General features: G+C 41.1%; 1 long non-coding RNA gene across 1 annotated transcript in view, besides 5 other annotated features; it reads left to right on the top strand.

Annotated features, from left to right (window-relative positions):
* The window catches only part of LINC00189 (long intergenic non-protein coding RNA 189), a 94,712-nt gene that overhangs the window by 39,716 nt on the left and 40,644 nt on the right, over positions 1-14,352 (top strand). The gene's annotated exons all lie outside the window — the stretch shown is intronic.
* Positions 318-497: an enhancer, noted in NCBI's record as "active region_18343". NCBI's record gives its function as "activates an Ori minimal core promoter by ATAC-STARR-seq in GM12878 lymphoblastoid cells {active_cell/tissue: GM12878}" and the evidence as "EXISTENCE:reporter gene assay evidence [ECO:0000049][PMID:35858748]".
* Positions 928-1,027: an enhancer, noted in NCBI's record as "active region_18344". NCBI's record gives its function as "activates an Ori minimal core promoter by ATAC-STARR-seq in GM12878 lymphoblastoid cells {active_cell/tissue: GM12878}" and the evidence as "EXISTENCE:reporter gene assay evidence [ECO:0000049][PMID:35858748]".
* Positions 2,703-2,782: an enhancer, noted in NCBI's record as "active region_18345". NCBI's record gives its function as "activates an Ori minimal core promoter by ATAC-STARR-seq in GM12878 lymphoblastoid cells {active_cell/tissue: GM12878}" and the evidence as "EXISTENCE:reporter gene assay evidence [ECO:0000049][PMID:35858748]".
* Positions 4,020-4,119: an enhancer, noted in NCBI's record as "active region_18346". NCBI's record gives its function as "activates an Ori minimal core promoter by ATAC-STARR-seq in GM12878 lymphoblastoid cells {active_cell/tissue: GM12878}" and the evidence as "EXISTENCE:reporter gene assay evidence [ECO:0000049][PMID:35858748]".
* Positions 12,264-12,313: an enhancer, noted in NCBI's record as "active region_18347". NCBI's record gives its function as "activates an Ori minimal core promoter by ATAC-STARR-seq in GM12878 lymphoblastoid cells {active_cell/tissue: GM12878}" and the evidence as "EXISTENCE:reporter gene assay evidence [ECO:0000049][PMID:35858748]".

The raw sequence follows: 14,352 nt of genomic DNA on the forward strand, positions 1-14,352 counted from the left end.
CATATTTCAACCATTCATACACTGCTTAGTGCTCAAACTGTGTTCAAATAAGGCAAACGCCAACCTCTAACCAATCCAGCCGTTCTGTACCTCACTTCCAATTTCTGAACGTCATTTCTCTTTTTTTTTTTGGTCTATAAATCTTCCACCACATGGCTGCGCTGGAGTCTTTGTGAATCTGCTGTGATTCTGGGGGCTGTCTGATTTGTGAAACGTTCATTGCTCAATTAAACTCCTTTAAATTTAAACCGACTGAAGTTTTTCTTTTATCATGTCCCAAAACAGGAACATTCTGAGGTACTAGAGGTTTGGAGTTCAACATATACATTTGGCGGAGGTTGCAGGAAGACAATTCAGCCCATAGCATGTACCTACCTAAGGTCTTAACTGGTAAACAAACAAACAAAAAACCAACCTAGTTATAGTTTTAAATTTGTTTCTATTTTATTTCCCATGAGGTAATCTAAAAGAACCTGGGGAATCCAGGTGCTTTTCAAAGCAGTACTTGTATGGTGTTTCATCATTACCTCTCAGCGGGAGGGAAATGAAACTCAGACGGGCCCATTTGGTTTCTATGATACCAGCTTTCCTCACCTTTCTTGGGGAGAGTGATTTTGAAACTATGGGCTACAAAAGACTTTTGGATTATGTGTGAGCTATGCTCTCTCTCTGGGACTCCTACTATGCTTTGTGATTGTGAAAATAAGTGATTCAAAATCTAAGCTGTTGGAACTCTAAATTATTTTGAGCCATAAGGAAATGTGAATTATGGGGCCTGAGTCACAAGACAGGCAGCTGTAAACTAGGCAGCTGTGAACTTTTTGTAATATTTTTGATTGTCTGAATTGTCTTTTCCCTTACCTACATTATTTTGTAAAATGTTGTGAATGGTTGTAGGACGTGCGACAGGTGTAGCTCACCTGCTTGGTCGCCCCAAAGCTCAAAGGAGGAGCATGCAGACAGGCAGGTGCAGAGGCCAGTACAAGCACTTTTGGGCTCCTGTCCCACGGCAGAGTCTAGGGGTGGGTCTCTGTGTCACTCGAAGCCCATGTAGGCATGTATTACAAAGCTCTTTCAGATTTGTTGTCTGCAGACGGCTTGTGTGTTAATCAGCTTAACGGACCCTCTGCCTTATTGTGAGGGCAGGGGGCCAGCGTGACAACTTTCTTTATCCCAAGCTCTTGTCCAGTGTCCTGAAAGAATCAGATCACACATGGGCTTGAAGGATGAGTGCAAGGTTTCATTGAGTGGTGGAGGTGGCTCTCAGTGAGATGGATGGGGAGGCAGAAGTGGGGATGGAGTGGGAAGGTGGTCTTTCCCTGGAGTCGGGCATCCAGCGGCCCAACTCTTCTCCAGCCACCCCTGGCCAAGCTCCCCTATGAGTCCAGACATCCTTCCTTTTCTCTCTTTCTCTGCTGCATTGTTCCACTGTCACTGGTCTGCTGGTTCACTGGTCCACTGGTCTGCTGGTCTTGATGTCCAGCTTCTTGTGTATGTGCCCGCTAAGGTCTTGGGTTTGTATGGGGGCAGGATGGGGGGTGCATGGCAGGCCAAAAGGCAAATTTTGGCCATGAAAACAGAAATGCCTGTCCTCCTTTAGGGCTGCCGGTCTTCAGGCTTGAGGGTGGGCCGTTTGTTGGGGAACCGCCCCCTTCTACCCAGTATTTCCCTGTTTCCTGTCCATATCAGTGAAGGATGCCAGAGGAGACCCCTTCCCTCTTACTATTGACTTTCATTATAGATTAACCTCTTTCTTCTCACACAAAAACTTTATGGCCATCTCAATGCCTCAAGATGGAATGTTAAGCACACTCTTTTAAAATCAAAAGGAAATGAAAAGGAGCGATAAAGAAAAGAAAACAAGCTGCATGGAAAAGAAAAGAAAAGAAACTGATTAATTTGTTGTAACTCATAAACTGGCCCTGTATTGAAAATGTTGTAATCTTGTTAAATTTCTTTGCTTTTTCCTATATAAAAGAGAATTTAGCTTTTAACTTCAGAGCACTACCCCCATTTCTCTGGGACAGAGCATCCAGAAATGGCCATTCCCAGCTTTTTGCTTGAATAAACTCTCTAAAATTGGAATCTGACCCTTTAGATTATTTCAGGTTGACATGATGAGGAGTTGGCTATAAAGTCACTGCTCTGGCAAAGACTGAATTTCTCTCCTAGTATCAATCCAACACCACTGTTGCCCTGATACATACTGCATTACTGTGGAAGGTTTAAAATCAATCTACTTAGTATTTTCCCTTTTGTAGAAGTGGATTTTAATTATTTCAAGGATCAGGTTTATGGTGTGGGGTGGGGGCTCCAGGGATGTGGGGAGGGTAGCATCACAAGGAATTTTCCTCCAAAATGAGTGTAAGCTCAAGTCCTCTCTTGTGTCTGCTTTGCCTTACTTTGCAGGGAAAGAACCCAAGTTGCATGCAACTTCCCATCTAACTTCTCATTCTCTCTTAATTTTCAAACTTGTTTTCATCCCTATTAATAGCCAGGTCATAGAATCATTTTCAGAAACATTTCAGGTGCTTCAGGATTTTTGAAACCCTTTAGTTCGCATGGTTTGAGTGTGTCACAGGTTAGTAAACCCTCAAAGCTATGCTGTCATGGTTATTGTGTGGTTTATGCCGAGAGAAACTGGTCATAGTCTGCCCCAAGTAGCAATTAATGGGGACCCTGAGGGGCAGTCGGGAGAAGTGACTAAATCAATCCAGCAAGCTCTAGAGAAGCATTTCCTCTTGAGAAGTTCACTATTTTGTGAAAATCAAACGCAACCAAATGCCAGGGGAAAGAACATCTCCCACTGGAGCTTGACAATATTTGTAGAATTAAGTGAAGTTGTGTTTCTGGTGGTTGAAAGTGTCTGTTTGTGATCTCATGTATTCTATTTTGCTGAATAGGTACTTAGGATCTGATTTGGGAGGAAATGAAAGCATGACCACTGGCAAGAGTCAGAAAGAGCTACAGGCATTGGCATTTTCTGTCTATTTCTAAGATCTTTTTGTCAATCCGGTGTTTGGAAACAACTTTCAGTCTACCTGCAGGCATTTTAAATGAGTCCTTTACCTTGTTTCTCATAGGAAAACTTCATTTAGCTGCATCCACTCCAGGCAAGTTCTTTGTTTTCACTACTTGTCAGTGTTTTTTCTTAATCACTTCCCTCATCTTCCTTCCTCTCTGAGCCCCTCCTTTTCAACCTCCTCCAGTTCCCTACCCCCAGCCCCTAATGGAGTGTGATGTATTATACTTACGCTTTATGAAATTCTCATTAGGGAGGATCCTGTCCATTGACAATAATGGTTGACTTGCAGAATTCTCAAATATGAAGTTTCAATGGTTTGTACATCACATATTGATTTTCTTTCCTTCCACATGTGGATAATATCCACACAACAGTATCTCACACCCCTATTCTTTGTGAAAACATTATGTGGAAAAGTCGATGTCTTGGGTGGATCAATTGTCAATAACAACAGTGTTTCGGATACATAAGCCCTTCCTGTTGTAGTCACACCTTCTCTCTGACTTTAGGGGCTCCTACAAGGTCCTTGTATTTATTTCAGAATAGGCTAGTGTAGAGACTTAAGGAAGAGCTCTCGGCATCAGTCAGGAATTCATCGGTCAGGCCCTGAGCCCTGCCTCTGCCATGCTGTCATTGACTTTGGCCTTAGGTGGGTCATTTTGCATCTCTGGGCCCAGTTTCCCCACCCTTAAAAGAAGAAGACTGGCCTGTCAGGAGTTCTAGCATCCTTGTGATAGGTCATCCTTGTTGGACAATCCTTGTTTTGTTCCCATTAAGCTTTACTTGCCAGTGAGTTCCTTTTCGTCCTTTTGTAGATTCCGTAAGACCCAGAGGGTGAGTCTAGCCAAAGAGGGAATCAAGCTGGGCTAGCCAAAGAATGTATCCTCTTTGCTCCTAATCTTCTGAAGAATAAGTCACTCCAGAGGCAGGAGGAACCATCTCTGATTGAGCCAGTGAGCATGTGGCTGGCTGTCCTTATGAGCCCCAGGCCCCACCATCAGAGCTAAGCTTGCCAAGGAATGCGGTGTTCCTTCCATAGCTCTGCTTCAGATCTGCTTCCCAGCCCTGTCTGTCCTTCTTGGATTAGGCAGCAGCATTCTAGGAACAAATCCCCTTTGCTCAGCCATGCATCACTGCCTTCCAACTCATTTTCTGAATCTCACAGTTCTTGTCCCCTCCCTGCTGGTCCTGGCAAGACTGAATTTGTCAGGCCTTGTTGAGTTCCTGTAGCCTGGTGCATGTGGTTAGGACCTAGGTTGCTTTTGGCTGCTCTAGATATTTTTAAGTACTTTTAATTGATTGGAAAAACATGCTAACTTTGAGTTTTAAAGTATTTGTAATTATACCCCCCCAAGGCCACTGACTTAGCTGTGGGGTTGTCAAAGAGCCATTAATAAGCAAATTAAAAGGAAGAGGTGGAGCCGTAAAAGCAGTTGCAGAACTAGAAGCCAAAAGCAGCACTTTCTGTTTAGTGACTGTAATAGCCCTGACTGTGTGTGGACTCCTGAGATGGAGGACAAGTGAACTTACTATGTGTTTGAAAAAATGGTTGCAGTGGGGCAAATATAAACCTATGCTGTGCCACACTCCTTCAAGGCTGATCTATTTCATGGCCACTTCCAGAATTGTGCAACAGGTGACCTCCAGGATAACTATGGCTTATCTTACAGCAACGTAGTTCATCTAGGATAGAAAATTGTACCTTTATCCCTGGTACCTTCTGACTACAGATGACATAGTGCTTGAACCAATCCTATCTAATCTCTTTCCACTCATTTTTAGAATAAAAGCCAAGCCTCTCATGGATTGGGATGCCCTTAGAGAAAGAATGCTTATTTCAATGCAGTTGTGTTACTGCTTCGTGGTGTCATATATATTAGTCAGTTTCACTGCAATAATATATAGTCTCCAAATCTCAGGGGCTCACGCCAACAAATTTTCATTTCCCACTTGCATTACATAGTGATGGTCATGCACTGATTGCTACAGTTCTGCTCCCAGTGTCTTCTCTTTCCTGGAATCAGAAACATAGCCATGTATAGTTGGGACTTGCTATTTTTGTTTCATAACTGCATTTTTGTACCCAGTAGCTGTCTGCACTCCTTCCCCTTCCCTGTCCTCTTCCCAGCCTCTAGTAACCATCATTTTACTCTTTACCTCCATGAGTTCAATTGTTTTGATTCCTAAGTCTCACATATGAGTGAGAACCTGCGAAATTTATCTTTCTGTGCCTGGCTTTGGGACTGCTGTTTTTGTGGCAGAAAGAAAAACAGAGTATTGGCTGGAAAATGTCATGCTTCAAAGTGTTTGCTTGAACTGGCACACTGTCACCTCTGCTTACATTTCACTGGCCCAGACACCTCATGTTGCCAAGCCTGAAAACATGGCAGAGAAATATTCTCCACGTATGGAGAGGCACCACAAGTCATTCGGAAATGGGTTGGATGTATAATCACTTACAGGGAAGAAAGCCAATATGGGGAATAACAGTCCCATCGATCATCAGGTTCACATGCTAGACAGGTAACTTCATGAGAAAGGCCATGCTCTGGACAGAAGCCTCTGATCCATAAATCTGTCTTTCCTATCCTTGAGTGCTGTTATGTAAGGAAGACAGGGGAGAATAGCTCTTTGATTTTTATATTTGGGAAGGCCTGTGCCAAGATTCCTTTTATGAGATGGGATCTGTTTTTGTTCTAACACCCTTCAGGTTCACTTATTCCTGCCTTAGACGGTGTCTCCTCTTCTGCAAATTGCTCGATTTGTTTGGCTTCATCTTTTGATTGCAGTTGATGGCTTTGGCGTTAATAAATGTTTTGCTCTTCTTTCAGCTGACTCTCAAATGTGCTCTTGCAGATGCAAAATCACTGTGGTTTGGCATCAGACCAGAAGATGTAGGAATCAGTATCAGCAGAGATGTGGGCTTCTTGGTCCAAGGCAGATTCAAGAAGTAGAAGATTACAGGAGAAGAGCTAGACATAGGAATAAATGCATCTATTTCCTTGTTTTAAGAGAGACTATAAAAGTTAACATTTTTTTCTTCACTTTCCACAGGTGAATCTTTTTTGGACCATTTTGCTGTTTTAGCAGTGTCTTTCTCATGGAACATATAGCTTAGATGGTGAAATTATTTTTCTTAACTTTCAGACTTTCTGGAAAGTCAAGGAGGATGGGTGTTTCTGATCTGTGACAACAATGAATTTTTTATAATAACTTGAGATAGGAAAAAAATCTGATTGCAGTATATAATAATCAGAAAATTTCCTCTTTGCAGAAATCAAAATTACTTCCAGCATATATAAAACAATCTTTGCTAATAAAGTAATACAAACCCTCCAGTTATTATTTATTTTTATTGGCTTTTTTGTAAAAGTATAGATATTTATAATACATAATATCATTAATTTTTTTTCCATATCTACATGGTTATTGGCACCCAAAGCAGTGGTCTTTTATTGGGAACAGAATTGCATGGGAACATCTGCTTAAACCCCTTGCCTTCACCATCCGGTTTTGCATTTGTCAGTTTCCTTGTCTGATCTCCTACAGGGACTTGAGATTTGAGAGAAGTTCAATTTCCGCCATTTTCTGTTCCCTCTCTCCACATTTTGCACAATGTCTTTTGTGGCTTTTTTTGTTTTTGTTTTTGTTTTTGTTTTTGTTTTTTTTTGAGGCAGAGTCTCCCTCTGTCACCCAGGCTGGAGTGCAGTGGCACTATCTGAGCTCACTGCAGCCTCTGCTTCCTGGGTTGAAGCAATTCTCCTGCCTCAGCCTCCCAAGTAGCTGGGATTACAGGTGCCTGCCACCACCCCCAGCTAATTTTCATATTTTTAGTAGAGACGAGGTTTTGCCATGTTGGCCGGGCTTGTCTCGAACTCCTGACCTCAAGTGATCTGCCTGCCTTGGCCTCCCAAAGTGATGGGATTACAGGTGTGAACCTCTGCCCCCGGCCTTTTGTGGCATTTGTATTGAATGGAATGAATAACTAAGCCAATGAATGAGCAAAATATACAGTCTTGTTCCAGAAAACAAAAGAACAACAAATGCAGACCAGGCAATAGATAGGGGGAATGCCTGCCTGCCCCAGTTTCCCAACCTTCTTTCCTTGGCTTTTCTGCCTTCCATGCTGAGTTACCTCATGGACCTGCAGCTACTGTGCCAGGACTCCTGGTGTTTGCTTTTTCTCTTCCAACTCCAAGCAATGACAATATCAAGTTTTTTACTCCATGTTAGCACTCTTAGAACCCAATATTTTAAAAATTGACTAAAATTCTAAGAGAAAATGTAAAAAGAAAAAAAATTACAACTCCCATTCAAAAGATGAAAAATAACAGCCTACCACTAATTGACATTTTCCTGTACGCCGGACACTGTGCAAGGTTTCTACAGACATGGGAAGAGGGATTACTCTCTCCATTTTGGAGGTGTGGAGATGATATGGTTTGACTGTGTCCCCACCCAAATCTCGTCTTGAATTGTAGCTTCCATAATTCCCACATGTTATGGAAGGGACCCGGTGGGAGTTAATTGAATCCTGGGGGTGATTTCCCTTATACTGTTCTTGTGGTAGTGAATAAGTCTCACGAGATCTGATGGTTTTATAAGGGGAAACCCCTTTTGCTTGGCTCTCATACTCTCCTGCCTGCCGCCATGTAAGATGTGCCTTTCGCCTTCCGCCATGATTGTGAGGCCTCCCCAGCCACGTGGAACTGTGAGTCCATTAAACCTCTTTTTTTTTTTTTTTTTTTTTTAAATAAAGCAACTGGTCTTGGGTATGTCTATCAGCAGGATGAAAATGGACTAATACAGGAGCCGAGGCCTGGAAAGAGTTTTCCTTGTCCTGTGTCCCACTGCTGGTCAGTGGTGAAGCTTGGGATGAGAACAATGGTTATTTCATTCTACAACCCATACTTTGAAAAGCAGGCATTGCTAAGTAAAATAATTCTAGTTTATGCAGAGAAGAGATTGACTTAGCATAAAGTTCCCTCTTTTGAAGACTCAGTGAGCAGCCTTGCAGCTGCTGCTGTGTAGGCCTTTCACAGTCAGGTTGCCTGGATTTTCTGCCCATGCATCTGACAGTAGCTCTTCTCCCAGCCATAGGTTACTTGTTTTCAAAACAAACACAGGCTTTTCTTTATAAGTTTTTTTCTGGTGCTCACCTCTCTCATCCCCTATACCTCTCTTCAACCTAGGCTCTTCCAAAAAGTACATCAAGCAGGTGAAGTTTACACCTCTAACTTCAGAGAAGTGGTTATTGGTACCATAAAAACCCAAAGCATGGCCAGGAACAGTGGCTCACACCTGTAATCCCAGCAATTTGGGAGGTTGAGGTGGGCAGGTCACCTGAGGTCAGGAGTTCGACACTAGCCTGGCAAACATGGTGAAACCCCGTCTCTACTAAAAATGCAAAAATTAGCTGGGCATGGTGGCGGGTGCCTGTAATCTCAGCTACTCGGGAGGCTGAGGCAGGAGAATCACTTAAACCCAGGAGGCAGAGGTTGCAGTGAGCTGAGATGGTGCCATTGCACTCCAGCCTGGGCAACAAGAGCGAAGCTCCATTTCAAAAAACAGACAAAAAACCCAAAGCTTGGCTGGTCTGCCTCATCTTATTTCCCAATATTTTCCACTTAGTTTCCCTATGAATCTCTTAGATCCTTTAGTGTCTTACTTCTACCCCACCAACAAAAGGAGTAGTGTGTATGAATTAGGATTTTACAATATAAATATACATTTACAGTAACATACTTATAATGAGGATGTTTTTCTCTAAAAAGAACTATGCTAACATACTTTATATAATTGCAATGAATTTGTTTTTCACTGTTTATAACTTCTTAAAAAATATACTGGGCATGAGAAGACCTATCCAAAAGCAGGAAAATCTTATTTTAAGTGCTGCAATTGTGTCAGTTATGTCATGAAATCATAAATGGTGGCTATCTGTCAAAATGTGCTATGTTTCCTTAGACATAAGGAAGACAATGAATTTTCAAGATAACTCACTGATGTGTCTTTGTTAAGCTGACATATTTGGAAGAATTCCCAAATAATTTTCATGGTCAGAGAGATTCTCATTTTGCAAGCTACCCCTAAGCAAGAGGCACTGGGGACTTTGCCCAACCAGTAATATTCAGATGAGTTGCAGATTGTTTAAGTAGCTAAATCATGTTAATCCTCTTTCCATGTATGGCAGCATTTATTTAAAATTATTTATTGAATGCATTCTATGTGCCAGGCCCATTTCCAAGTACTGGATATTCCTGGTGAACAAATCCTACACATATTACTACCTTTAGGGAGCTTACACTCTGGCATTAGGCATCAAAACAACACATTCTGGCAAATGAGGCTGGTAACTTTTAAGGATTAAATAGCTTAGAGTTATCAGAGTGTTGACCAGGCATGGTGGCTCATGCCTGTAATCCCAACACTTTGGGAGGCTGAAGTGGGCAGATCAATGGAGGTCTGGAATTTGATACAAGCCTGGCCAACATGGTGAAACCCGGTCTCTATTAAAAATACAAATATTAGCTGGGCGTGGTAGCAGGCACCTGTAATCCCAGCTACTTGGGAGGTTAAGGCAGGAGAATGGCTTGAACCCGGGAGGCAGAGGTTGCAGTGAACTGAGATCTAGCCATTGCTCTCCAGCCTGGGCAATAAGAGTGAAACTCTGTTTCAAAAAAAAAAATTATCAGAGAGTAGATTTATGTATTAAGCATCTTTCAAAAGGCCTTACACAGTTACAGTTTACATTATTAATGTACTACATTTCTTGGCAAATAATTTATTGCTGTTGGTCTTCCAGTCCCCATTCTATAAGATACATATGCAAAGTCAGGAAACAAAGTAAACTTTTCTTAAAACAGTATGTTAGTTATCTTCAAATAATATGCTTTCAGTTGAAGTGGATTTGCTCTAGATTTAAAATAATGGGCCTAATTGCTGATCTAGAAAAAAGTAACTTATAAAACATATTGAGCATCCAAAAATTCTGGCAGCATAGGAAGCTTACTATATTCATTATACTTTTGAAGGGGAATGGAAGTTAAAGAAATGCAGATTATGTTGTTTGAAAATTATCTGAGTCCATTTGTGTTGCTATAAAGGAATATCTGTGACTGGGTAATTTATAAAGAAAAGAGGTTTATTTGGCGCACACTTCTGTAGCCCATACAAGAAGCATGGCACCAACATCTGCATCTGGTGAGGGTCTCAGGCTGCTTTCACTCATGGTGGAAGGTGAAGGGAAGTCAGTGTGTGCAGAAATCATTCAGCAAGAGAAGAAGCAAGAGAGGCAGGAGGTGCCAGGCTCTTTTTAACAATCAGCTCTCACAGGAACTGATAGAGCAAGAACTCACTCATTACCATAAGGATAGCACCAAGCCATTCATGAGAAATTCACCCCTATGGCCTAAACACGTCCCCTTAGGCCTCATCTCCAACACTGGGGATCAAAGCTCAATGTGAGGTTTGGGGAGACAAACACCCAAACCATAGCAAACATATAAGTGACATACTGTTAAAAGATGGATTTATCCTATGTTTCTTTTTCTTTTTTCTTTCTTTTTTTTTTTGAGAAGGAGCCTTACTCTGTTGCCCAGTCTGGAGTGCAGTGGCATGATCTTAGCTCACTGCAACCTCCACCTCCCGGGTTCAAGCAATTCTTCTGCTTCAGCCTCCTGAGTAGCTGAGATTACAGGCGGGCACCACGATGCAGAACTAATTTTTGTATTTTTAGTAGAGATGGGGTTCCACCATGTTGGCCAGGCTGTTCACCCCAGTAACTCTCCCCTTAAACAATTGGCAGTTGTAGGAAGGAGCAAAAGATGCACAACTGTGCAGAGAACAAGGGTAGTATCCCATTACTTGTTATTTAGGATTCCGTGGCATGTACTTATTCTTGAATAATTTACTCAAAAAAAAATGGGAAGCTTCCACATCTTGGCGATTATATATAGTGCAGCAGGAACATGGGAATGTGGATATCCCCTCCATAAACTGACTTCCTTTCTTTTGGGTATATACCTAGCAGTGGGATTGCTGGATCGTGTTGTAGTTCTATTTTTAATTGTTTGTGGAGCATCCATACTATTCTCATAGTGGCTGTGGAGAATAATTTACATTCTAATTTAGTACTAATTTATATTCCCACCAACAGCATGCAAGGGTTCCTTTTTCTCCACTTGAATAAGATCTAATATTTAATAGCACAACAGGGTGATTACAGCCAACAACAATTTATTGCACATTTAAAAATAACTAAAAGAGTATAAACGAAATGTTTGTAACACAAATAAATGATAAATGCTTGAGGTGATGGATACTCGGTTTACCCTAATGTGATTATTACACATTGTATGCCTGTATCAAAATATCTCATGTACCCCATAAATATGTACATCTACTATGTACCCATAATTTTTTTAAGTAAGCACTTTCAGAAAGGATGCTTCTCAGAACTCACAAACATTGCATTTTTATACTTTCATAGTTGAAAAATATAAATCAGTTTTGTTAAAGGTGGTGCATTAGAGAGTAGGAAGATGAGGCCCGGAAGATCTCGTGTATTTTAACATGTTGTTCTCAGGAAGCTTCATATGGATATCTGTAAATTTTAAGAAGCCACCCTAGGATACCCCAAAATAAGTCTGTGGTCACGCACTGCTCACAAACAGAGCGTAAGGCAGAGGGCACTGTTTCGATGCATCCTCTATCCAGCTGGAAAGCCAGAAATATTATTTTCGTAGTCAAATGATTAAAATAGTAATGGTTTATTTACTCTCCCCAAGTGTAGTTGGGAAATACATGAGGTTAAAATTCAGGCATCTGAGTTTCTGTTTCTCCTCCTCCAACTATGAAGGTAAGTTGGTCTCTCCCTGTGCCCATTGTGGCAAGTGTCTGCCCAGGCCCTTGACCAGAGAGACAGGAAGCAATGATGACAGAGCCAGGCAAGCCCAGACCTCACATGAGCCTCCTCTGTAATTTTGGATAGTTCTGGAAACTGGACCATCAGCCTTAATGGCCTATGCTGGGAATCCTGTGCACACCAGGCCACATTTCTCAGCAGCTTGCCTGTGCCGTGCCCCTAAAAAGAACAGCTCAGACCTGCTCTGCAGGGGCATTTATCTTGTCAGCTGAAGAGGGTGAGCTCATTTTAGGCACGTTGCTGTAAACAACTGAAAGATCCACTCTCCTAAGCATAGACCTGACTCAACTATGTCTCTGCAAATGGTCTCCCTTTTGCAACACAACTGCACCGAGAAGCTACACACTTTCACCTTCCAGCAGATCTTGGTCAGATACATTGCAGTGAACTTCCCACTCTCTTCCCACTCCTTTCAAACTCAGTCACTGAAACCACAACCACCCCACCACTGTAACAACAGAACCAATTTCAATAGTTTGAGGCCATTCCCAAGCTCTATCTCTCAGGCTAGAACAAATGAACAAGCTCCTTGTGCCATCAGCATTAATATTTGTGGTGTCAAGTGGGCATTGTATAGATTTTCCCCACTATCTACACATCAGACTGTGAGGTGGGTAGAAGGGCATGATGGCCATTTCACAGATAAGAAAGCCAAGTTAAAATTAGTTGCACAAAGTTATAGCTTACAGCGACAGAATTGGCCCATGAATTCATTACCCTTTCATTCCACTACAGTATCAGTCAAATTTTAAAAACAAGCCCAAAAATATATTTCCATATATGTTTTATTTTCATCCTAGGATTTTGAGCTGTCTTGTTAATATTAATTTATTTAAATTTCATAGGAAGAATACTATTGAAGTTTCTATTACTACTTCTGAGTGACTGTATGCTAAAAGGGAATGATATGACTTGCAAATATGTTTTGAGGAATGTTCTATGAATATGCCTAAAATTCATGGTTTCTACCCAATTAAAATTTTGTATTCATGTGAAATAGTTTAAGAAAGAGAAAATATACCACATATTTTTATTTGATGATTTTTAACAATTATGAAGAAAAAATTGATGAGAAAAAGTACAGACTATACTCTTAGATTTTTTTCTTTTTCTTTTGTTTGTCCTGTTTTGTTTTGAGACAGGGTGTTGCTCTGTCTCCCAGGCTGTAGTGCCATCATGGTTCATTGCATGCAGCCTTGACCTCCTGGGGTCAAGTGATCCTTCCGCCACAGCCTTCCGAGTAGCTGGGACTACAGGTGCATGCCACCATGCCTGGCTAATTTTTATTTTTATTTTTATTTTTGTAGAAGCAGGGTCTCACTATGTTGACCAGGCTGGTCTCTAACTCCTGAGATTACAGGCAGGAGCCACCACGACCAGCCCAGACTATAATCTTAAATACATTTTTCAAATATGTGTTAAGAACTAGTTGTGCGCAGGCTACTTTGCTAAAGAGTATCTGTTCATTGGAATGTTCAGTTTTGAGAAAATAATTATTTTATAGGCTTATCAATGGCCATTATCTTGAGTAAACTAAAATATTTACATTAATGATCTTGAGAGGAGATTGACAACAAAGAGCCAGGTTATAGAGCAATCTTCTCTTGAGCCTGGATTTGTTCGGATGAATGATTACATAATGATGTCCAGTGGGAATCGCAGGATGTGACAGCTGTTTGACAGCCTGTCAATTTTACAAATGAAGCAACTGAAGCCAAGTGAAGTTATGTCTTGCTCAAGCTTCTAAGGATAAGCTGAGTCTGAAACCTAGATTTTCTTTTATTTTTCTTTATTTTAATTTTTATAGATTTAGGAGACACAAGTGCAATTATGTCACATCAATATAGTGTATGGTGGTGAAGTCTGAGCTTTTAGTGTAACCATCACCTGAATTGTGTACATTGTACCCATTAAGTAATTTTCATCCGTCACCCCCTTCCCACCCTTCCACCTTTCTGAGTCTGCAGTGTCTACTCTTCTATTCTTTATGTCCACGTACGCACATCATTTAGGCCCCACTTATAAGTGAGAACATGCAGTATTTGACTTTCTGAGTTATTTCACTTAAGATAATAGACTCTAGTTCCATCCATGTTGCTGCAAAAGACTTGATTTCATTCTTTTTTATGGCTGAATAATATTCCATGGTGTGTGTGTGTGTGTCACATTTTCTTTATCCAGTCATCCCTTGACGGACATTTAGGTTGATTTCATATCCTTGATATTGTGACTAGTGCTTCAATAAACATACAAGTGCAAGTATATTTTGATATGATGATTTCAGGTTTTCTGATAGTAAGCCATTTGCTGGTTTTAGCAAACCCTAGGATCTCTTCTAAAGGAAAATTTCTCCACCTGGCAGCTTTGCAAAATTTATTCAGGGAAATTAATTTCAGGTTGG

The sequence above is a fragment of the Homo sapiens genome, chromosome 21 (genome assembly GCF_000001405.40).
Source record: "Homo sapiens chromosome 21, GRCh38.p14 Primary Assembly".
Taxonomy (NCBI): domain Eukaryota; kingdom Metazoa; phylum Chordata; class Mammalia; order Primates; family Hominidae; genus Homo; species Homo sapiens.